Source organism: Homo sapiens, chromosome 2 (genome assembly GCF_000001405.40).
Source record: "Homo sapiens chromosome 2, GRCh38.p14 Primary Assembly".
Lineage (NCBI taxonomy): Eukaryota > Metazoa > Chordata > Mammalia > Primates > Hominidae > Homo > Homo sapiens.
Window position 1 is genome coordinate 70,209,356 of NC_000002.12, and position 26,026 is coordinate 70,235,381.

At 38.2% G+C, this 26,026-nt stretch overlaps 1 protein-coding gene across 48 annotated transcripts in view; it reads right to left on the reverse strand.

Moving 5' to 3' along the window:
• TIA1 (TIA1 cytotoxic granule associated RNA binding protein) overlaps positions 89-26,026 on the reverse strand; it is a 39,350-nt gene continuing 13,412 nt past the window's right edge. For 5 of the 48 annotated variants that reach the window (NM_001351513.1, NM_001351512.1, NM_001351514.2 and 2 more), the window contains 10 exons: positions 21,401-21,499; positions 19,909-19,963; positions 18,380-18,467; positions 15,199-15,274; positions 7,531-7,639; positions 7,049-7,144; positions 6,853-6,937; positions 6,016-6,139; positions 4,994-5,139; positions 89-3,490 (listed from right to left, as the gene is read on the reverse strand). In NM_001351513.1, coding sequence (NP_001338442.1) covers positions 3,364-3,490; positions 4,994-5,139; positions 6,016-6,139; positions 6,853-6,937; positions 7,049-7,144; positions 7,531-7,639; positions 15,199-15,274; positions 18,380-18,467; positions 19,909-19,963; positions 21,401-21,499 — 1,005 coding nt within the window. In that variant the 3' untranslated portion in view covers positions 89-3,363. Of the gene's footprint in view, positions 3,491-4,993; positions 5,140-5,769; positions 5,879-6,015; positions 6,140-6,761; positions 6,938-7,048; positions 7,145-7,316; positions 7,640-15,068; positions 19,847-19,908; positions 19,964-21,400; positions 21,506-26,026 lie in introns of those variants that run through there. The other 43 variants (NM_001351511.1, XM_005264528.6, NM_022173.4 and 40 more) reach the window with 36 other exon arrangements.

Consider the following 26,026-nt stretch of genomic DNA (forward strand, 5'->3'; position numbering starts at 1 on the left):
ATGAATACATATAATACATATGAATTTCCTGTTTGGTTAATTCATATGAATATGAATTATGGTCTTCAAATGAAGGTAGAAAAACCTATTCAATTGAGACACACTCACACATTTTATTAAGGCTCTTAAATTGAAACTCATCATTTTGGATGTACATTCAAATTCTAAACACAACAGTCAAAATGCAGTGACTGTAATGAAATGTAATAACCTCCTATAAAGAAACGATTGGGGACTATCATTTTTGTGATTTAACAACAGAGAAAATCCAGGAAGAATGAATTGAGTTCCTTCTAGGAGTTGTTTATCCCTGCTCATGCTTAAGATTGACGATTTCGTGAAATAAAGAACATTATTTGAGAGAAAAAAACTGATTTTTTTTAAAGAAATCATCACTCTCATTTGAAAGGTTTGCTTTCTTATTTCCTGTAAGTACATTTCGTTTTTCTAATTCAACTGTAACCTCAGGACCACTGTACAGCACTTAGTAAACCTGTCTTTGTACATGCAATCTAGTTCTTACCAACTGCCTTCTCAAATGGAATAGAACTATAACACACAAATAAAAGGAAGATGTACAAGCACAGGGACAAAACAGGAGGAAAATAAAGACTAGAATGTGAATCTCATTTTCAACAAGTATCAGCAAGGAAAATGAGACCCTGGTTTCATAATTAATTAAATCTGCAGAATGCCAATTCCATTTGGTGTTAAACAGTAACCCAATATAAACCACTGATTCTGGAATAAGATTAAAAAAAAAATACCTGAGTGAATATAACAATATGGATAGACCAAAAAGAAAAAAAATCTCACACACAATAATCACTGCAAGAAGATCCCACAGGTTATAGAAAACATAAAGGAACTTTAATATCCAAACATTCAGGGTAAAGAATACTGGATTAATCACCCATTAAGTGTAAATCACTTCAGGTTCTTTACAGTACCAGAAAGTAAAATCTAAATTTTGCATATTGCAGAGAATGAAACCATTTTAAAAACTTTAATTTCCTTACCTGATACTAATACCAGTATGATTTTTAGACGGAAAAACTAAGAGTAAGATTTAAACCAAAGATAGAGGTGTTCCTGAAATGTGAATTTGTTCAGTAGTAACCTTTTCATCATGAGTACTGATACCACTTTCTTCTCAGAAAGTAGTCAATGTACATTTTAAGATTTGTGCAATAAGCCAATATGCTGGATAATAAAAACTGTTATTACTGGAGATAGTCAAAATGAAAGAAAACTATTTAAATTATTTATGCCCAAATAATTTACCCTGCAGTCCATGAGATGCACAGGAAATAATTTTTTTTAATAAGAGAACAATGAGGGTCCTAAAGTAGAAACATAAGCCAGAAGAAATCTAAAAATAGCTTCCTGATATTTTATTTTAAAATATTTCATTTAAGCTGCTTTTGGTTGCATGCCCTGATCTGTAGAAGTTAACAAGGAAATAAAATTTCCAAGTATTTAAAAAATTTACTCATCTTCCATAAAGCGACTTTTAATGTATCAACACTTAAAAATACACAGTGACTTAATGAAATATCAGCACAACTGCATAGAATTGAGCTCCAGAGAATTATACACTCGAGCTGTCTTTCCTGGGCTCTGGTTTATAAGGGTATTGGCTTAGAGACCAGCTTGGAGTCATTTGCCCCTACCCGGGAAATGCAGGCCAGGAAACTTAAGATTTTGCGGGCCTTTTCTGTTTCTAGGTAAAATGCAGGGAGCTCCCTGAAGGTCTTGAAAACCATCAACCATTCAAATATGTATACTGGGACCTTTCCTCTTGAGTAAAGGAAGAAGGAGGTTTGTGATCTTCACTGAAAACAAAGTGAAACTTCCCACACAAGTCTTCTAAGAGACTCTGAAATATACTAGAAATTTCAAAACTAGAACAATGCCATCAAAGATTAAACCTCTTAATGCTTGGAGCCACCCCAAAATAATAAAATCGGGAACTCCAGGAAAACAGGTACCAAACGAATCAAAATAATGATTGCACTGAGGATTCTCTTATCTGAAGGCTGTTTAAAGAGGTAGGATTTTAAGGTTTTTTTTTTGTTTATCTTTTGGCCTCTGAACATTTAAAAGATGCTTTGCCCAGCTGGTCCTTCAGGCAAAATTTGGAGGTCACAATGAACTCCAAGCCTGACACAAAGATATTCTACAGTTTCACAGCTATCATTTGTACATATTAAGTTGATTCACTCTTTTTGAGCAAATCTACCTAGAAAACGGCAAATTAATATATTCCTTTACATACAACTTTGTGTCTCAAAATTCTTGAAAAACAAGAGCAGATGACTTTGTATTCAAAGACTACCAAAGTATGTATTTGATTTTCACATGCAAACAACTTAAAACCTTATAAATCTCATGTCAACTCTGCATGATGCCTTGAAGGAAATGACATACAAAGTTTGCTAACTGTGCAAAATATTAAATTGCTAAAACATTTTACATAATGAAATAATACATGTAAATGTTGAAGTTGACACATGAAATTAACATGGCATAAGAACTTATCACATTTCAGATATTTTCTTTAGTAACAAGTTTTTGTTTTTATAGTTCCTGGTACACAGCAAAGTTTATCACGAAAGATAAAAATCCTTTTAAACAAATCCAACAGGAAATTCTTGAGGCACCTTCTCATATAAAACACAAGATGAATGCAATTATCAATCCATCTGAGAAAAGTTTTCAATCTAAATGAACATCATTTTTTCCATTTAAGTATATTTTACAGAACTTTAATAAGGCAAGACAAATTTGTGAAAAAAGATGTAGATACAAAAATGATGTAAACTAATAATTTATATTAAAAAACCCCAAAGGGATAACAGTGGAGATGGGACAGCTCAAACAATGCCTTTTTTTAACCTAAAACAGAATTGTGCACAAGCTGAAGATGACAAACAACTTCTAGACTCTGCACAGTTTTGGTTTTTTTTTTTAACATCTTTATATTACATGTTTTAAATCATATCAGGAATGCAAACTAGAACTGCACACTACTTCAGTGGAAAAAAGTTCAATATTGTGCAATTTTCTGCCTCTTAATAGTTAAAAAGTGGCAGCAATCCCTGCATTTGTGTTTGAAACAAGGATCTGAGAAACTTTATCAAAAAAGGTAATGAAGGCAAAAATTGGCAGACATCCAGCATCTTGTTTCTTTTTAAAACAATGTGGATGATAAGTAATTTCATGATTAAAAATGAATCTTTTAAATAAATACATTGTATCTGACATTTGCACTGACTGATTTGATAAATCTTTAAGTAAACAACGGCTTTACTACACTCCCTGTAGCCTCAAGCCACTGGCTTTAGATTCTGGAGTCCTTATTCACTGGGTTTCATACCCTGCCACTCGATACCCAGAAGGCTGATTGGGCAACATGCTGCCATTTTGCCCTTGAGGCGGTTGCACTCCATAATTTGGTCCCATCCATGGTGCAGAAGACTGTGTCTGACTGGTGGAGAATGTGAAAGAAGCAGAGGGGAGAGGAAATCCACTGATTAAAATAAAGTATTGGCAAGAACAAACAACAAGAACAAATATGGGAAATGGGAAACATACTTTTTCTTAATCCCAAATAGAATAATTTATGCTAGGGAAAATGAAATCTTTTACTAAAGTTTTTTTCTCTTAAAAACAAGCATCCCTGTATGTTTAATTTGGACAGTTTAATTTTGTTAGAAATTAAAGCTAAGAAAATACCCTGAACTTATCAACATTCATCTCCTTTGAATATAGAAAAACCTAACCCCATTCTTGGAAAAGAAAGCTATCCATCTCATCTCTATGCCTTGGTTGAACATATTTGCTGAGGAAACCACTACCTGAAAGAGTCAGGTAGGTTCCCTACAACGAAAAAGGAACATTATACTACTCAAAGAAGAAATCAAAACAATTATTAGCATATGAAAGCTCATAAAAATTCATAACATTACAAGATTTTCTTTTCTTTTCTTTTTTTTTTTTTTTTAAGACAGGTTTTCATTGTGTCACCCAGGCTGGAGTACAGTGGTATGATCTCAGCTCACTGCAACCTACGTCTCCCCAGGCTCAAGCGATTCTCCTACCTCAGTCTCCCGAACATCTGGGATTATAGGCACGCAACCACCATGCCTGGCTAATTTTTTTTGTACCTTTTGTAGAGATGAGATTTCGCCATGTTGCCCAGGCTGATCTTAAACTCCTGGACTCAAGTGATCCGCCTGCCTTGGCCTTCCAAAGTGCTAGGATTATAGGCATGAGCCACCATGCCCAACCACAAAATCCTTTTTTTTTTTTGAGACAGAGTCTTGCTCTGCTGCCCAGGCTGGAGTGCAGTGGTGTAGTCTCAGCTCACTGCAACCTCCGCCTCCCAGGTTCAAGTGATTCTCCTGCCTCGGCCTCCCAAATAGCTGGAACTACTGGTGTGCACCACTACACCTGGCTAATTTTTGTATTTTTAGCAGAGGTGGGGTTTCGCCATGTTGGCCAGGCTGGTCGCAAACTCCTGGCCTCAAGTGATCCACCCACTTCAGCCTCCCAAAATGCTGGGATTACAGGCAGGAACTACCACGCCCAGCCCACTAAATTCCTTTTTAACCTCTCAAGTATTTTTATTTCCAGTGTGTTTTTCAGAAATGTAAGTAAAATAGTGTAATTCAGGGTGTATAAGGAAGCTTGCAATGTAACAAGGCATATTGAAAAAACCCTTTGTACAGAAAAAAGCATAATGAATACAACAACTAGCATCAAACTCAGTGTATATAAGAATGGCTAAGTGACCATTAGTCATGTGAAAAGCTTAACAACTATTAAGCTCTTATTTTCTTACTAAAAAACAATTTTAAGTTCTTTCAAGGCTATAGTTACGCTTTACATAAGAGGCCCTATTACCCACTAATTCTTAAAATTTCTTCCTACTTAAAATTTCTTTAGACATTTTCAAAGGTTAGTAAAGGAAGACATAAGATATGCTTACTTAAATCCTTGCTGGTTCCATGCCTGGCCATACATTCCATATGCAGGAACTTGCCAACCATTAGGCATATACTGGCCAATTTGTTGTGCATTTCCATACCACTGGCCCCACTGGCCATAAGGTTGGGGATATCCAATTTGATTCTGCTATTAAATAAAATTTAGTATTACTTGAAGTTAACTATATATATACAATCCTAATATGCTGATACCACAAATTCTTAGCCAAAACACACAGGGCCATCATTACAATTAAAATGACAGGATAAACAAGAGTTGACTGCTAAAAAAAAAAAAAAAAAAAAAAAAAACAAAAAACAACAACAAAACAAGTGAGGTTATACTGCTGTAACTCTACGTGATACTCTGAATGGCATAGTTTTTGGAAGGCATCAGTTGATACCCTAGTAATAAATGTTAAACTTAGTAGAATGTTTAAGTGTTTGGTATACTATCTACATGATTGTTTCCTTTAGATAGGGAAGATGTGATTAATTATTTCTATATTCAGCTTACTTAAGACACTTATATAGTTTAGGATTTGCTTACTCCCATCTCTGTGCTCCATTTACAGTTTCCTCATAGAAATCTTTGTGGAATCAAGTTTGAACCACTAAAGCTGCCTGGAAAAAAAAGGCAGCAAAATCTGGAAGAAAAATGCCAAGGCCATAACTATATTTACAGCTTTATTTTTGTTTCAGTTGAGTCAAGCATGCTTGTGAGTTCTCCAAATGGTATGTGAATAAATCTACCAAGTATTAAAAAAAGATGTAATACCCTTTTAGGTTTCTCGGAGCATTTTAAAATCCACTGTGTGAGCATGAGTCAATTGAGGCGGTCACATTCATCATGTCACCACTGCAATCCATGAAACACCATTCTGGAACTATAATACATGTAGGAAGAGCCCTTATATACTATCATTTTAGCTAGAAACTTATTAACAAGGATTATCAACAATCTTCACCTTAAAATAACATTATTAGCCCAACAATTACTTCTCAAAGTTAAGAACCCTCTCACCTGTTGCACGGGATTTATCATATCAAGAGTTTCTTTGCCCCAATAGCATTTCACAACATGACCTTCAATGGTAGTACCATTAACAGAAACAATTGCATGTGCTGCACTTTCATGGGAATTGAACCTATTGAAAACAATATTAAGAATCACCAATACAAATTCTTTTAAATATTTATGAATAAAACCTATTTTTAAAAATCAAGGTGAGTCTGAGGTAAAACAGTTTGCGTAACATGGCATATTTTCTTTGCTATTTTTTTCAAAGATCTTGTAGTTCTGGGGCAACTTGTGTTAACAAAGAATGTGTGTTTCACTGGCCTTGTGTTAGGGAGGGAGCTATAAAATCACAGAGGCAAATACGCTGGATGCTAGAGAAATTTCAATTTTTTTTTTTTGAGATGGTGTCTGGCTCTGTTGCCCATGCTGGAGTGCAGTGATTGTGATCTTGGCTCACTGCAACCTCCACCTCCTGGGTTCAAGTGATTCTCCTGCCTCAGCCTCCCGAGTAGCTGTGATTACAGGCATGCACCGCCATGCCGGCTAATTTTTATATTTTTGTATTTTTAGTAGAGACGGGGTTTCACAATGTTGGCCAGGCTGGTCTCAAACTCATGACGGTGATCCACCCGTCTCGGCCTCCCAAAGTGCTGGGAATACAGGCGTGAGCCACCGCACCCGGCCAAAATTTCAACTTTTTTATAACCAAGGTAAATTTTTAAGAAAACGAGGTAAATGTTCAAAAAATATTTTGGAGGAAAAAGTTTTTTATTTTTATTTATTTTCTGGTTTTCCAGTTACATTACCAAGAAAAATGTTTTTTTAAAAAACCATCCCTACCGAACAAATGAATATCCTTTATCTGGAAAGACTCGAATTTCCATTATTTGTCCAAATGGTGAAAAAGTCTGACGCATTAGTTGTTCTGTTAGACAAAAAACCAAAACAAACAAATCACACTAAGTTATATAAAAATCCTACAAATATTAAGCTTTGCACTTTAAAAATTAATGCCACACAGGGAAGGCTCCCATACCTGTTAGCCCAGAAGTAACACCTCCACAGTATACAGTACAGTTGCTTGGACTAGACTGATTTACAACCTCATCATATGATAGCTGTTTGGTATTTGCTGGTGAGAGAAAAGGTTTATGTCTTTAATTCATTAAATAAAATGTGCAGAAAGAGAAAAGTAGCATTCACTACACTACTGTAAAGGTAACATTAACCTTGATCAAAATGCTTATATTACACATATTATACTTCAGTTCAGAATTAAACCTCCCCCACGAATGTCTAAAAAATTACCCAGTATTTTCTATTTAATAGGAGACTTGACATTAGAAATAATATTATTTATAATTACAAAAATGAAAACTAAGTACATTTTTGAATAGTAGTCTTGATTTGCTTCTCATCTATTTCTGCAATAAGTCTCCGGGAACAGCTCTAACATTTAAAATCTAGCGTATTTTTCTCCAAAATTCCACATTTCCTTTTCTTCTCCAATACACCTACACTCATATGTACTCTTTGGAGCGGGAGGCTTTCGGGTTGCCCAGTTAGTTCTGATTTGTCTTCCACCAAGCCACTGGCCACCCATCTGTTGAATGGCGTTTTCAGCATCCTGTTCCGTACAACATTAGAAACAATAAAGAAGTCACTATTAGTTGATGTTAAACAACTCTTAGCAGTAGAGAAAACTTGGTGCTTTTCACAAATGTTTAAGTGAAAATGCTCTATGAAATACACAACATATGATAGCTTTCCTAAAATGCAATGGTGCTTTTTATATTTTTAAATTTTATTTTATTTATTTTTTCAGATAGAGTCTCGCTCTGTCACCCAGGATGGAGTGCAGTGGTGTGATCTTGGGTCACTGCAACCTCCGCCAACTGGGTTCAAGCGATTCTCCTGCCTCAGCCTCCTGAGTAGCGGGGATTACAGGCATCTGCCACCATGCCTGGCTAATTTTTGTATTTGTAGTAGAGATGGGGTTTCGCCATATTGGCCAGGCTGGTCTCGAACTTCTTCTTCTTTTTTTTTTCTTTTTTAAGTCTCGCTCTGTGGCCCAGGCTGGAGTGTAATGGCGTGATCTCGGCTCACTGCAAGCTCTGCCTCCCAGGTTCACGCCATTCTCCTGCCTCAGCCTCCCAAGTAGCTGGGACTACGGGCACCTGCCACCACGCCTGGCTCATTTTTTGTATTTTTAGTAGAGACACGGTTTCGCCATGTTAGCCAGGATGGTCTCGATCTCCTGACCTCGTGATCCTCCCAACTCGGCCTCTCAAAGTGCTGGGATTACAGGCGTGAGCCACTGTGCCCGGCCCTGGTCTCAAACTTCTGACCTCAAGTGATCTGTCCACCTCAGCTTCCCAAAGTGCTAGGATTACAGGCATGAGCCACCATGCTCAACCCAATGGTGCTTTTGTATTGTTTTTCTCTTATTTGAATATTAAATTTTGGGAACATTAATCATCTGAAAAGGTCGTGAGCCCGACAGCCCTAATGAGGTAGATATCATAAAGTTCATGCAACTCAGACTACTATAGAAGAAAATCTTAAACAATCTAACAAGCTTGTTAACAATATTTGGTTTCTCATTCATCCAACAAATAAATATTGAACAGTTATGTTCCAGGCATGCGGTTAAGAGCTAGGGACACACTGGTAAACAAGCATACATGGTCTCTTACATTCTTTTGTGGGGAACAAATAAAGCAATTACATATTGTGGTAAGACCTATGACAGAAACAAAAGGCTGAGATAGAGAATATGGGCACAAGGATCTACTACAGACAGGATGAATAAGAAAGGTCTCTCTGAAATGACATTTAAACTAAGCCTGACAGCAATAGGAGATAGCCAAGTCAAAACAATGAGGAAGAAAGCCCCAGTAGAGAGAAAAGTATTGCAAAGTGTGTTAAGGCACAAAAGTTTGGTATGCATCTGAAAGCAGCATGTGAAAGACTAGTTTCAGTGGAATCCAGCGAGCAAAAAAGAATGTCAGAGAATGAAACTGAAAGATTTTAAGCAAGGAATCATCATGACCTATGTTTTAAGAAGGCCATTCTTTTTTTCGAGATGGAGTCTTGCTCTGTCTCCCAGGCTGGAGTGCAGTGGCGCGTTCTTGGCTCACTGCAAGCTCCGCCTCCTGGGTTCCTGCCATTCTCCTGTACAGGTGCCAGCCACCAAGCCCGGCTAATTTTTTTTTGTATTTTTTAGTAGAGACAGGGTTTCTTTTTTAGTAGAGACAGGGTTTCACCGTGTTAGACAGGATGGTCTCCATCTCCTGACCTCGTGATCCGCCTGCCTTGGCTTCCCAAAGTGCTGGGATTACAGGCGTGAGCCACCGCACCCGGCAAGAAGGCCATTCTTAGCGCTAAGAGGAGAATGGCTTAGGATAATGGGTAGTAAGGGGATAAAGATACTTTATGAAACTTGTGCAATATTCTAGATTTTTAAAAAGTGTTGGTGGCCAGGAGCATTGCAGTAGCAGTGAATGTAACTTAAACTCAAGGCCAAAATAATGGGGGCTGGAGGGGACACCACAAGCAAAAGGAGAGAAAAGATAACTCTTAGGTTCCTCTAGAGAAATTGGAAAGACAGCATTTATTGAAATGCGGAGAAAGACTAGGAAAGAAAAGGGGAACAGGTCTGAGGAAGAAACAAAAAGCTCCATTAAGAAAAAACTTTGAGATGCCTGTGAGACATATAAATGAAGACCATTTGTTAATAAATGTGGAACGCAGAGAAGTAGACTGAAGATACAAAATTCATGCAGACTAGAGAAAGAGCCTAGGACAGAGCCCTGAAAAACAGCAAAACTTGAAAAATGGGTAAAGGAATAATCACTAGCTAAGGTGACTAGGGAGGAGTAGCCAGTGATGAAGGAAGAAAGCCACAAAAGTGTATGGTCCAGGGAGCCAAGAAAACAGAGGTTAAGAGGTGACCTTGAAAATAGAGTAGCATTGGTACAAAGTGAGAGTAAAACCAGCTTAGAGTAGACTAAAAAGTAAATGGAGTGTAACTTTTGTGTGCACACATCAAAGGTAAGCTTAATCTACTACTGAAGGAACAGGCAAATTCAAGGCCTTTCTTGAAATATGAAAACGAAATGCTTTAAAAAAAAATTAAATAGGGTCTTATTCTGTCATCCAGGCATGATCACAGCTTACTGTAGCCTTGAACTCCTTGGGCTCAAGTGATACTCCCACCTCAGCCTCCTAGTAGCTAGGACTATAAGCATGCACCAACAAGGTTGGCTGTTTTTTTTATTTTTTTAATTTCTTTACTATGGTAGGAACAGCCTTTACTGGTTGCAACAGGCAATGGGAGGGATTCGGGGTCCACAGACTAGGTCGCCAGGCTTTTTTTTTTTTTTTTTTTTAATGGAGACAGGGTCTTGCTGTTGCCCAGGCTGGTTTCTAACTCCTGGGCTCAAGCAGTCCTCCTCCTGCCTTGGCCTCCCAAAGTTCTGTTATTACAGGAATGAGCCACTGTGCCTGGCAGGAAATGCACATTCTTAAAAAGAAACAAATATTATCACCCCAACCAGTCCGAACTCCATGAGACGCTTAACTAATGTTATGTGTTGAATTGTGTCCCTCAAAACGATATGAAGTCCTATACCCTGGTATCTGTGAAATATGGCCTTATTTGGAAACAGGGTCTTTGCCGAAGTAATTAAGATGAGGTTATACTGGATTAAGGTGGGCCCCAAATCCAATGACTCAAGTCCTCATAAGAAGTAAAGATCAGACTGGGCACGGTGGCTCACACTTATAATCCCAGCACTTGGGAGGCCGAGGCAGGTGGATCATGAGCCCAGGAGTTCGAGACCAGCCTGGACAACATGACAAAATCCTGTCTCTACAAAAAATAGAAAAATTAGCTGGGCATGGTGTTGCAACACCTGTAGTCCCAGCTACTTAGGAGGTTGTGATGGAAAGATCACCTAAGCCTGGGAGGTCAAGGCTGCAGTGAGTTGTGATTGTGCCACCACACTCCAGCCTGGGTGACAGAGTGAGGTCCTGTCTCGAAAAAAAAAGATGATGATTATATGGATACACAAAGAGAGAAGATGGTCATGTGAAGATGAAGGCAGAGATTGGAGTTATACAGCTACAAGCCAATGAATGCCAAGAATTACCAGCAACCACCAGAAGCTTGGAAGAAGCAACAAAGGATTCTTCTACAGAGCCTTCAAAAGAGCATGGACATGCTGACACCTTGATTGTGAATTTCACGCCTCCAAAACATTGAGAAAATAAATTTTTGTTGCTCTAAGCCATCCAGTTTATGATACTTTGATACAGCTCCTCAGGAAAAAAATAAAACTACTCACTCAAAAAAGTGGAAAAAAAACAGAGATGTATCTATGTTGGTGGTTGTGAATGGGAGATAAAGTAGAAGCATATGCAAACAACTCTTGAGAATTATAGCCAAGAAATGGGGATACAGTTAGGGAAGGGATGTGAGGATAAACAGTGGTTTTGATTAAGAGATACTAGATGGCCAGGAACGGTGCCTCATGCCTATAACCCCACCACTTTGGGAGGCCAAGGCGGGCGGACTGGTGGAAGCCAGGAGTTCGAGGCCAGACTGGGCAACAAAGTGAGATTGTTCCTACAAAAAAATATATATATATATTTTTGAGACGGAGTCTCACTCTGTTGCCCAGGCTGGAGTGCAGTGGCATAATCTCAGCTCACTGCAACCTTTGCCTCCCAGGTTCAAGCGATTCTCCTGCCTCAGCCTCCTGAGTAGCCGTGATTACAGGCGTGTGCCACCATGCCTGGCTAATTTTTCTATTTTTAGTAGAGACGGGGTTTCACCATGTTGGTCAGGCTGGTCTCGAACTTCTGACCTCATGATCTGCTTGCCTCGGCCACCCAAAGTGCTGGGATTACAAGTGTGAGCCACCATGCCTGGCCTTTTTTTAAAAAAAAATTAGGTGGGCATGGTGGTGTACACCTGTGGTCCCAGCTACTCTGGAGGCTGAGGCAGGAGGATGGATTGAGGCCAGGAGTTCGAGGCTGCAGTGAGCTATGATCACACCACTGCACTCCAGCCTGAGTGACAGAGTGAGACCCTCTCTCCAAAAAAAAAAGAGAGATCCTAGGTTGATGAGAATGATCCAGTAGAGAAGGAATAGAGTGATGACACAGAATAGCAGTAATAACAAGAACAGCACATTATGATTCCATTTATAGGAAATGTTGAGAACAGGGAAATCTACAGAGACAGAAAGTAGATTGACAATTGTTCAGGGCTGGCAGGAGGGGCATGAAAGGAGGATAGTGACTGCTAATGAGTCATGTAGCTTCTTTTTGGGGTGGTAAAAATATTCTAAAATTTATTTTGGTAATAGTTGCACAATTCTGTGAATTACCTAGAAACCACTGAATTGTATACTTTAAAAAAAAAATTTTTTTTTTTGAGACAGGGTCTCTGTCGTCCAGGCTGGAGTGCAGTGGTGCAATCTCAGCTCACTGGATCCTCAACTTCCTGGGCTCAGGTGATTCCCCCACCTCTGCCTCTCAAGTAACTGGGACTACAGGTGTGTGCCACCATGCCTGGCTCATTTTTTGTAGAGAAGGGGTTTTGCCATTTTGCCCAGGCTGCTCTCAAATTCCTAGGCTCAAGTAATCTGCCTGCCTTAGTCTCCCAAAGTGCTGGGATTACAGGTGTGAGCCACTGTGCCCGGCCACACTGTATACTTGAATTATATCTCAATAAAGCTGCTGTTAAAACAAAAACAAAACAAAACAAACAAACAAAAAAAAAACAATGAAGCAGTGGCAGCATAGGCTCAAAGTCCTTGAAAAGGCAAGAGAGATGGGGACACAATCATAAGTGATTTTGCCTTTGACAGGAAGGACCTTTCCTGTACTATAATAGGAAGAATGGGAAGGTGGATGAATTTTATGTAAGTTTGGTGGTTGAAAGATGAGAAACACATGTTTGCCAAGACAGTACTCTGTACTCACCTAAAGTGTGTGACCATTAAATTAGAAGCAAAACCACCTGAACTCAGTTTTTTTCCAGGAACATTCAGTTATTTTGGGGTAGGCAGAGAAGCTAAGCTCAATCAGTATTGTGGTCTTCCTAGCATGTAGAACATAGGAAGAGAGGCTGGGGGTAATTGCAATCAGGGCTGTAGCACTGCGTAACAGAGCCAAGCACGTATCACAAATTTTACATAAGTTGAAATTTATAGATTTAAATTTATAGAAGATTTTATAGAAGATTATATTATTTACTGCCGGGCGCAGTGGCTCACGCCTGTAATCCCAGCACTCTGGGAGGCCGAGGCAGGTGGATCACAAGGTCAGGAGTTTGAGACCAGCCTGGCCAACATAGTGAAATCCTGTCTCTACTAAAAATACAAAAAATTAGCCGTGCATGGTGGCGGCACCTGTAATCCCAGCTACTTGGGAGGCTGAGGCAGAAGAATTGCTTGAACCCAGGAGATGGAGGTTGCAGTGAGCCGAAATTGCGCCATTGCGCTCCAGCCTGGGCAACAGAGCGAAACTCCGTCTCAAAAAAAAAATTATATTATTTACTCAAAGTTACATCTGTTTTATAATGGTTGTCAGAATTTGTATACATCTCTGGCTAACTCCAGAGGCCATACACAGGTTATCAAGAGACATCCTTTGCTATTTGACTCTAGTTCATACTAAATACACATTCAACAGTGATTTTTATATAGCAGAACCCTACAGTCCACAATCTCGAAAATGTGAAAAATGAGTTCCTAGCCCATCAAACCGCCAATTTATTTCCCTAACTTGCACTAAAACATCCTAAAACCTATGAATCAATCCTCTAAGGAACTCAAATTAATCACGGCTATCAATCCATTATAGAAGGTATTTTTCTACCTTTCTAAAACATTATGCTATGCTTAATAGTAAAGTTTTGAGAACCAAATAAATTCTCTTAATTTTTATTTTCTCATCTTACAGGAAAAAAAAAATCTTTGGTAGATGGGACATGTACATGATTGAGCTTGTATTGTTTTCACCTCTCAATGTACTTTACAATTTTCAACTTTTTTTTTCTTGAGACAGGGCCTCACTTTGTCACCCAGGCTGGAGTACAGTGGCTTGATCATGACTCACTGCAGCTTTGGCCTCCTGGATTTAAGTGATCCTCCCGCCTCAGCCCTGCAAGTAGCTGGGACTACAGGCATGTGTCGCCATGCCTGGCTAATTTTTTGTAGAGATGGGGTTTTGCCATGTTGTCCAGGTTGGTCTTGAACTCCTGACCTCAAGTGATCCGCCCACCTTGGCATCCCAAAGTGCTGGGATTACAGGTGTGAGCCACTGGGCTCGGCTGAATTTTCGGAATTCCCGGAAAAAAAAAAATTAAAAAAAAAGTAAAATAAAAAATATATATATTTTGTAGAGATAGGGTCCCACTATATTGCCAGTATTTATCTCAAACTTCTCAGCCTCCCAAAGTGCTGAGGTTATAGGCATAAACCACTGTGCCCGGGTAATATTTAATTTTTTAAAAAGTTCCTATCCATCACAGTATTTTTATTTATTTATTTATTTTTTGAGACAGGGTCTCACTCTGTCGCCCAGGCTGTGCTGTGGCATGATCTCGGCTCACTGCAACCTGTGCCTCCTGGGTTCAAGTGATCCTCCTGCCTCAGCTTCCCGAGTAGCTGGGACTACAGGCGCCTGCCACCACGCCCGGATAATTTTTGTATTTTTAGTAGAAACAGGGTTTCACCAGGTTGACCTGGCTGTTCTCAAAGTCCTGACCTCAGGTGATCCACCCGCCTCAGCCTCCCAAAGTGTTGGGATTACAGGTGTGAGCCACTGCGTCCGGCCTCCTCACAGTATTTTATTAGCTACTTTTAAACTACCATGGGAATATAAACTAGGGAGATAATGAATTAAATCCATAAATGAGATTTTCAACATCTACCTTTGGCTGATAATTTAAACAACTTTACTTTCTACATTCTGAAAACATCTTATCAGTACTCTGCATGCCTCAGGTGCCAATAAATGTTAAACAGACAAAACAGAAGAAATCTTCTAGTGAGGGTTTATTTTAATCATCAGTAAAATAAACAGCAGACGAAAAAAAGATTAGTAATTAAAACGGAGTGTTTCCATTCTTTACTCTTTAAGCATTATCCATGCACTTCTCACTGAGCTCACCCATTTGTTGAAAAAGGAGACAAAGCCATATCCCTTAGACTTTCCTGTTGCCATGTCTTTTACCACTCGGGCATCTCTGAAATCAGAAACAATCAGAAGTTTAGGTTTGCAAACTATCCTCTGGATATCAAATAAGAATTTCACACACAACTCATTCTCATGTTTCACCTTCATTAAAGTGAACCTTTAATGCAAATTCACCTTTTATTCTACAAAATTTATCATGTATTAGGAAATGAGGCTTAATTTTATAGACATGCAAATCAATAACTTAAGTATATATGTATATTTATATTGTACAGAAATTGCCTCTCTCTTCAAAAAACTTTTTAAACTTTTAAATATTAAGCATGGTGAAAGCAGCTACTCACATGAACTACTTAACCACTTATAAAGTTCACAGGACATTAGATGAATGGCTTTCTTTAACCATGCAATTTATAACTTATTTGACACTATATTCTACCTAATCATTAAAAAAAAATAGAAAACTGGAAACCAAAAGAATGAAAAAGTTGTATATTCCCTAAACTAATTAAACTATTTAATTTTTTCAGATCAATTTATACCCCCCTTTTTGTCTAAATTTTGAGAACTTGACATTTTCAGAAATGTTAAATCATTGAAGAAAAATACTAGACACACACAAGTTTTAAGCTAGACAAGAAAAGATTTTACACTGAATTTTATAATAGCATTCATATAAAATTGATTGGAACTACAAGATATAAAAGCAAAATTTTAAAAAGTCAGAAAGTAAAAAAGCACGCCAACATTTATCCACTGTGAACCGTAGCTTGTAGTTAGCCAGGGCAATTCTGTCCATTCTTCAGAGACACTCTGCAAAATAACCAGAGCCCTATTATTTGAGATTGAGTAAAAACCCAGCCATGATAGCTAAAACTCCATACCTCAAAAAATTGGACTCAAATTGTGCTTCACAGGCAATCTGCTTTTAAGTTAGTCAGGTATGTCACAATGCTTGCTCTCTCAGGACACATGAACAAAACAGGCACTTTTATAACAAAAACCCAAGTCAGAAAGCCATGCAATGTAATTTTCTATTAAAGTATACATAAGCATATTTTAGATCAATCTGAGTGATTTATTAAGTGTTCAGGGTCAAAATGACAAAGACGTGGTGGTGAAAAGGGAAAATTAATGTAAGTCAATGTTCAATATGCAAAAATACTTAATAAATTATCTGTATGGTACGCATGCATTTAATCTGGTAGCTGACTCTCTTCTACGCTGTAATTTGTTAGTCTACCCTAAACTCAAGGAATAGGAAGAGTTTATAGGCTGTATATAAGGGAAAATACCATATTTTTTATACTACATGCTTTTACAGACCACTGTTTATTACACATCTATAAATCAAGCACTGATATTTGCACTTTTTAGAGAATATCATGAGAACCCTTCAACATACAGTTATCAACTTATCTCCTTTAACAACAACAAAAAATCAGGAAAATATGCTACTGACTGCCAAATGATTCCTTTAAATGCAGGAAAGCTAATTCCTTATATAGCCTAAAACTCAAACATTATACATTATCTCAATTGAAAATCATAAAACTTAAAGGTCTTACCAAGAAAAAAAAAGTATACACCAATAATCATGGGACCATAAGAAAATCTACAGACTAAAAATATGACACAGAAATATATTTAAGAGAAAAAAATATAACCCACGATTTGTAAATCATGAAATTGCTAAAATCTGAAGGTCACTTAACTTAAACTCACCAACTGTTAAACAATCTTTGCCTAATTCCAAACTAAAATTCCCGTGTTTTCAAAAAAACTACCTCAATTAAAATCAAAGCATTTAATAAAATAGCTACTTAATCTGTTCACAATGTTAGAAAATTTTTTCTTCTTAAAGTTTCAGAAAATGTTAGTCTTGAAAAATATTCAACTCATTTATTTCTCTCTGAAAAGATTCTCTGAAGCAGCAGCAAAGATCTAGATCAGGCTTCTTTATCCTTTTATGGTTCTATGACTACTCTGACAATAGGATAAAATTTACAAAGATTTTCCACACCAAAATGAAAACACAAAATTGTGCATAGAGATTTAGAGCCCTTGAGAGGCCAAAGGCTAAGACTGTCTAAGTCCAGATATTCGAAAGCAAGCTAATTATTATTGAAACTCTAAGATATTATTAAGAAGGACAATCAAGAAATGAAAGCTGTACTTATTTTCCTGATCAGGTCTCACAAAGAAAAATGTCATCTGAAAGAAGTCCATTTATAAGCCCTAATTCTGTGACCACCTTTAAAGTTGGTAATTCCTTGGTCACATCCCCTAATCAAGGAACGATAACTCTTCAAACGAAAGCTCCTAAAATTCACCAATACTACTGGCATTTACTTTCCAGTCTCCTCATCTCATCTCTGCTGTTGGTCTGTTCAAACCAAACCACAGCTAGCACTTCCTTTTTACTATTCTTCTAGGTGGAAAAATAACAGAGCAAGCAGAAACCCTGAAGAAGTTTTCTAAGCTAATTACTCTACAGAAAGTACTGTAAACAACTTGTTATTCTTACTCTAATATGGCATGCTTTTCAAAATTTTAAAGTTCTTCTATGATGAATGCTATCTCAAGTAAGGTATTTATTCATAAGGGCCTAAAATGTATGACTAATAACAAGTGCAAGCAAGGCAGTGCTTCATAAAATATTATTAAGGCACTATTATTGTTAGCAGTTTTTTTAAAAGGGTGTAAATATCTAGAAAATAATATTCAATAACTGCTTTTTAAGTTGAATTGTTAAGGTTTCTTTTTGTTAAAATATATTAACACAAAATGCATGGTATCATAGAAGTACCCAACAGATCTAAATTCCTTAGTTACAGCACAATTTTACTAAAGATTGTCACCAAGCTAGCTTGATACCTATATAAGAAAGTAAAACATGTACAATGGCAAATTTGTCTCTTAAGAGCTATGCTAATTGAAAAAGGATTTTAAGATAATTGAAAACCAAAGGTTTATTCATCAATGGGAAAACAATCTTTTGCTGTTAACTTCTTGAATGATCTCTAAACAATGTAATACATTATATTCAAGTTATAAAATTAATGTACAAAATTCACAACAGAATTATTTTCAAGTTATGTCTACATATAATTGTTTCTAATTAAAAGGATTTTATTTATCTTCTGTTACTTACGATATTCTTCCAAATGGTGCAAAAGCAGCTTTTATATCTTCAGTTGTAATTTCTGGGCTGAGATCACCAACAAAGACATGGAAATGATCTTATAAGGGGAAGGAAGGGGAAGTGAAAAGAAAAATAGAACTTTAGAATTTAAAAAGTACTAAAATCTATCCAATAAAGTATTCTTAAAATGATTATGGCTTATGATAAAGTATAAATAAAACACTATCCTATATCTATACAAATCCTACCAATTTTAAACAATGAATCAAGGTAACAATATAGGAAAAATTCTCCTGAAACGACTGTGATACATCTAACTGTAAAGTGACATTTATATTTCTATTTACAGTCAATTATTACACTGGTCTAAGAAAATAAACTAATAACATACAAGTTTCAGTTCTGCAAAAAAATTTAATGACTTAGTTACCATTCTAATAATAATTATTTACTTTTATTCAGTTTACCACTATATTAAGGCTTTACAAATTAAAATAAAATAGTGGTACTGTGAATTATGTAGACTAGATTTGCCTCAGTTAACACAATTTACTGAAGCTAGCTACATGATATATACTTGGTTTAACCATATTTTGTGAAGAACAATCAAAGAAATACCTTGCATTGCAACAGTTTGATGTTAAAGTATTTGACAGTTTTCTCAAAAGCCAACAGTTTTGGTTGCCCAGACATTACACCATTCAGTTTATGTGAATCCATGTGCAAGTGAACTAAGACTGAAGGCAACAGAATGAAAACAGTAATCCCTTCACTTTATATCAGAACCATTAAAAAAGCATTGGAGAGAAATAACCAACCCATATCTGAAGTTTTTAAAAAAGACAATTATCAAAAAAAGAAACACTTTAAAAATGCAAAATTGTTGGACCAACACTTTAAAATGGACACATACATCAATTTGACAAAGCATATTTGGAAAGAAAAGTTACCCATATTTGACAGGCCTTAAACAACATTTTGGATTGCTCTTTGGGAAACAAAATTTGAGGAGCAACTCAAGCATTTGGAAGATCTGGGTATGAAGCCCAAATGGTGACCTCAAGAAAGGAGGGTATTTTGCCCCTTAGTTGGTGAAAGTAGTTCTAAGGCATCAGCTGCTACCAAACGGGTCAGAAAGCTTGAACTAGCACCAAAGTAGCGGACAAGTTATACTTGGTCAACACTGAGAAGGGAGAAAAGTATTGCTAGAGAGACAAATAGAAATAATATCTCCTCCCGCCCCCCTCCCCCAAATATCAAACAAAAAAACTTCAGGTGGTTAGTGAATACCCTTTCAAGAGATTTCATTTTATGTTTAAGAAGATACAATTACCTTGTGAACGCTGTGTGCTGACAACGGTACTACCTGATGACAAAGATTAGATTTGTTCTTAAATTTATTAACACAAACACATTCAATCATATCTTAGGATAACGATCAAAACATTACTGCAAACATGTATGATGTTTATAGGCTTTACAATAAAACTACTGGGTACAATAAAAACAAATGTTCAAAGAGCATAAAATATACTTACTGCTTGTATCTTTCTTTTGACTGCTAGGGGTTGTTGCCCAATTCACTTTGACTTCCTAAAAAAAAAAAATTTCTACATTTATACTTCACAAAAATAAAGCCCAAAATCACATTTGTATCTATAAACACATAGGAAGATATCTGTTTAAGATGAAACACTGAAGGAGATACCAGCTCTGGTCAAGTTTCAACACTTAATCTTCTGACCTACATTTAGGCAAATAATGTTGACAAATCCTAATCTTTATGTGTCTGTTATCATTCAATTAACCTTTCCTACCTAAAGTACCCATATTATTTTTTTTCCTTTCATTCTTTTCCATTAGCATCCAAGCTTGAGTAATTCAGCAAATATTTTGTTATTTACCATGTACAATCCACCATGGAAAATACTAACATAGGCTGCTGGCTGACGTCTGTAATCTCAGCACTTTCGGAGGCCAAGACAGGCGGATCACCTGAGGTCAGGAGTTCAAGACCAGCCTGGCCATCAGAGTGAAACCCTGTCTCTACAAAAATACAAAAATTAGCTGGGCATGATGGTGGGTGCCTGTCATCCCAGCTACCCAGGAGGCTGAAGCAGAAGAATTGCTTGAACCCATGAGGCAGAGGTTGCAGTGAGCCAAGATGGTGCCACTGCACTCCAGCCTGGGTGACAAAGCAAGATTCCATCTCAAAAAAAAAAAACAAAAAAACCTGGGGACGGTGGCTCACGCCTGTAATCGCAGCACTTTGGGAGGCCGAGACGGGCAGATCGGATCATGAGGTCAGGCGACTGAGACCATCCTGGCCAACACGGTGAAACCCTGTTTCTACTAAAAATACAAAAAATTAGTCAGGCGTGGTGGCGGGCGCCTGTAGTCCCAGCTACTCCAGAGGCTGAGGCAGGAGAATGGCATGAACCCGGAAGGCAGAGCTTGCAGTGAGCTGAGATCGCGCCGCTGCACTCCAGCCTGGGCAACAGAGAAAGACCCAACTCAAAAAAAAAAAAAAAGAAAAGAAAATACTAACATAAACACAAGCCTCTGCCCTCTAAAAGCTTTATCCTACCTTTTTAATATTATATGTCAATAACTGACCTTTTGCTATAAAGTGTTTAATGTTTCAGCCAGGCGCGGTGGCTCACATCTATAATCCCAACACTTTGCGAAGCCGAGGCAGGCAGATCACCTGAGGTCAGGAGTTTGAGACCAGTCTGGCTAACATGGTGAAACCTCATTTCTACTAAAAATACGAAAAATTAGCTGGGTGTGGTGGTGCGTTCCTGTAATCCCAGCTACTAGGGAGGCTGAGGCAGGAGAATCACTTGAACCCAGGAGGCAGAGGTTGCAGTGAGCCAAGACTGTGCCATTGCACTCCAGATTGGGCAACAAGGGCAAAATTTCATCTCAAAAAAAAAAAAAAAGTGTTTAATGTTTCTAAAAAGGAAACAAAATCATATATAACTTAAATTTTTTCAGTGCAAGTCACCTTCTTTAATTACGACAGCTTACCTTACCCATTATCTTCCGTCCATTCATAGCAGCTAATGCTGCAGCTGCATGACGATGCTCATGAAACTCCACAAAACAATAGGGATCATTTCCAGCTGTCTGTGGGAGAAGAAACACAAAAGCCAATTTTAAGCTTTATTCACCCATTACCTTAAAATTATGTAAAAAAAAAAATCTTAAACCAAGTTTTATACATCTAAGTTATCAGGCCATGGAGAATGAATGGTCTATTCCACAAGTAAATTTTAGATTTAAAAAAGTAGGCTGGGTGAGGTGGCTCACACCTGTAATCCCAGCACTTTGGGAGGCCAAGGCAGGTGGATCATGAGGTCAGCAGTTTGAGACCAACTTGGCCAACGTGGTGAAACCCTGTCTCTATTAAAAAAAAATACAAAAATTAACCAGGCATGGTGGCAGGCTCCTGTAATCCCACCTACTCGGGAGGCTGAGGCAGGAGAATTGCTTGAACCCGGGAGGTGGAGGTTGCAGTAAGCTGAGACTGCGCCACTGCACTCCAGCCTGGGCGACAGAGCAAGACTCCGTCTCAAAAACAAACAAACAAAAAAGTAAACAGCCAGCTCCTGTAGTCCCAGCTACTTTAGGAGGCTGAGGTGGGAGGAATGCTTGAGCCCAGGAGTTTGAATCCAGCCTGGGCAACACAGCAAGATCCTGTCTCTAAAATAATTAAAAAGTAAAAAAAAAAAAGCAAACACTTAAAATCACACTGCTTTTATACATAGCTATTTTCTTCAACAGGTTATACTATAGTACTATAATTTAATATTAATGACTAGGTATCCTAACTGGATATATAGCTACACATACCCCATCATCATATAACCATTTGTTCAAGCTACACAGATTAAGTTTGACTGAACTCCTAAGTTCTGAAGTCTCACTTCGGCTTTTTATGATTTTTCTATCCCCTCCCTGTTATAAGTTACTTTTTACTGCTACAAATGTACATTGCTCCTTGCTGCTACTAGCTTGCTGAGTAGCAGAAAATCTTAGCCAACCTTCTTAAACCTGTTTTAAAATATAGGTAAATAGGCTCTGAAAACTGAAGAGATTCTCTGGTAAGTAAAATTTTAGAATAAGTTTTAGAATGTGAACTTTCTGACATCAATTTTTTGCTTGCTCAGAAGCCTTTAAAAAATTATCTTCCCGCCAGGCGCAGTGGCTCATGCCTGTAATCCCAGCACTTCGAGAGGCCGAGGCAGGCGGATCATGAGGTCAGGAGATCGACACCATCCTGGCTAGCACGGTGAAACCCCGTCTCTACTAAAAATACAAAAAATTAGCCGGGCCTGGTGGCGGGCGCCTGTAGTCCCAGCTACTCAGGAGGCTAAGGCAGGAGAATGGCGTGAACCCAGGAGACGGAGCTTGCAGTGTGCAGTGAGCCGAGATTGCACCACTGCACTCCAGCCTGGGCGACAGAGCGAGACTCTGTCTCAAAAAAAAAAAAAAAAAGAAAAAAGAAAAAAGAAAAAAAATTATCTTCCCAGCCAGGCATGATGGCTCACACCTGTAATCCCAGCACTTTGGGAGGCCAAGGTGGGCTGATCACCTGAGGTCAGGAGTTTGAGACCAGCCTGACCAACATGGTGAAACCCTGTCTCTACTAAAAATACAAAATTAGCCGGGCGTGGTGGTGCATGCCTGTAATCCCAGCTACTCGGGAGGCTGAGGCAGGAGAATCGCTTGAACCCTGGAGGCGAAGGTTGTGGTGAGCCGAGATTGCGCCATTGCACTCCAGCCTGGGCAACAAGAGTGAAACTCTGTCTCAAAAAAAAAAAAAAAAAAAAAAAAAAAAAAAAAATTATCTTCCCTTGGCCGGGCACAGTAGCTCATGCCTGTAATCTCAGCACTCTGGGAGGATGAGGCAGGTGGATCACCTGAGGTCAGGAGTTCGAGACTAGCCTGGCCAAAATGGTGAAACCTCATCTCTACTAAAAATACAAAAATCAGCTGGGTGTGGTGGCGTGTGCTTGTAATCCCATCTACTCGGGAGGCTGAGGCAGGAGATTCGCTTGAACTCAGGAGGGGGACGTTGCAGTGAGCCAAGATGGTGCCACTGGATTCCAGTCTGGGCGCACAGCGAGACTCTGTCTCAAAAAAAAAAACAAAACTTCCCTTTTCTGCTGGTGTTCCAGGTAGGTGAGGCTATGTGATAAATAGAACCTGGATGTTTAATTATAAATTCAAGTAGCAGAAAAAAATTCCAATTTTTACACCTACAGTGCAAAATATCAAATGACATTATAGGCCATTTTAAAATTCTTTCCATAGCCTCCTAAACAGATTTGTTAAAATAAAAAACTAATTCAAAAGACTAGAAAGCTACTAAAATAGAGGAATATACAATTTTATTTCAAGTACAGTTAATTAATTTTTTTTTAGAGATGTGGTCTTGTTATGTTGCCCAGGCTGGTCTCAAATTCCTGGGCTCAAGTGATCCTCCAGCCTCTGCCTCCCAAAGTGTTGGGATTACAGGCATCAGTCACTGTGCACATCAACAATTAATAGTTTGAGAGTCACTGGCAATGACTTGTAAAAATTTTAAAGCAACGAGGCCAAGACAAAGTTTAATATATTGGGACTATATTTTGTCTAAAAAAATTAGAGAATAAAAATGTTATATAACTCAAACTAATAAAACACAATGGGAATTCTATTACCAAGATCAATGCTGACAGGCAACACTGAAATGAAGTTAGAAAAAGTCACTTGCGGCTGGCTGTGGTGGCTCACGCCTGTAATCCCAGCACTTTGGGAAGCTGGGGTGGGCGGATCATGACATCAGGAGATCAAGACCACCTGGCCAACATGGTGAAACCCTGTCTCTACTGAAAATACGAAAACTAGCCAGGTGTGGTGGCGCATGCCTGTAATCCCAGCTACTTAGGAGGCTGAGGCAGGAGAATAGCTTGAACCTGGGAGGCAGAGTTTGCAGTGAGCTGAGATCATGCCATTGCACTCCAGCCTGGGCAACAGAGTGAGACTCTGTCTAAAAAAAAAAAAAGAAAAAGTCACTTGCATTTAAGAGTAAATAAATGAAAAAGAATATGCTTTACTTAATTTATATGCAGAAAAAACTAACTTTTTAAATAAGAATCGAAGCATATATACATATTATCAGTCCAGGGAGCATAAAATTTATAAATGTGAACATTAGTCTCAGAATGTGAACAGACTGGAATTTAGATTTGAATAATAAAAATCTAAGCTTTTGAGCGATCAGAATCCACAAATGATAAAAAGTGGCAAAGGCTAACCTGGTTTTTTCTGTAGCCAAGGCAATCATTAACGTTTTGTCTAATGATCTTTCCCCAGGGAAACATATGACCAGCCAGAGAGAGAGTAGCAGCAGGCAAACCAACAGAGAAGATTTATATTCGGATAAATCAATTAGGGTTTACAGCCTTGCTTTGCCTCATTTCCTCATACATGAAATGAAAATAACACCTTCTTTATGTTTCTATTGAGCATTTATGACAATGTATTAAAGTAACTGACAGGCAGCAAATTTTCCATAAATGCTACCATTGGGATAAGTAAGGAGATCTAGATTAAGGAAAGACTGGTTTTAAATTTCTCTTCATCTTTCCCCATCTTTCCCTCCTGTCTTTCTCTATGGGTACATGGATTTTTTCTCCTTTATCCAAAGGCATACCGATATTAAATGTGATAGAATAAAAGAACATAACTCTTTGTTGATTTCATCTATATAATATGCAGATGATTTTGCAGCATCAGAACAAAGGTCTGACAACATTTTAAGATCTAAGACAACAAATCAAAGCCAATTGGATAAATATATATTTTTGAGACAGTCTCCCTCTGTCGCCCAGGCTGGAGTGCAATGGTGCAATCTCGGCTCACTGCAACCTTCGCCTCCTGGGTTCAAACAATTCTACTGCCTTAGCCTCCTGAGTAGCTGGGATTACAGGCGCTTGCCACCATGTCCGGCTAATTTTGGTATTTTTAGTAGAGACGGGGTTTCGCCATGTTGGTCAGGCTAGTCTCGAACTCCTGACCTCATGATCTGCCTGCCTCGGCCTCCCAAAGTGCTGGGATTACAGGTGTGAGCCACTGTGCCCGGCTAAATAATTACTTTTAAAAATATTAAGTAAAAAAAAGTTGAACTGGAATACAACAGGAAAGAAGGTAACAGATACACATACACACATACATGATTGTCTTTTCTGGAGAAAAGAAAACTGAAAGTTTATAGCAGGCTGGGTGCAATGGCTATACCAAGACCCTGTCTTTCAAGACAAACAAACAAACAAACAAACAAACGAAAAGTTTACAGAAAAGAGAGACCATGGGACAAAAGGATTTCTCTTTAACATAGCCTTTCCCATTAAAAAATTTAGGCCAGGTACAGTGGCTCATACCTGTAATCCCAGTACTTTGGGAGGCCAAGACAGGTGGATCACCTGAGGTCGGGAGTTCTAAACCAGCCTGACCAACATGGAGAAACCCCATCTCTACTAAGAATACAAAATTAGCCAGGTGTAGTGGCGCATGCCTGTAATCCCAGCTACTTGGGAGGCTGAGCCAGAAGAATTGCTTGAACCCGGGAGGCGGAGGTTGCAGCGAGCCGAGATCGCACCATTGTAT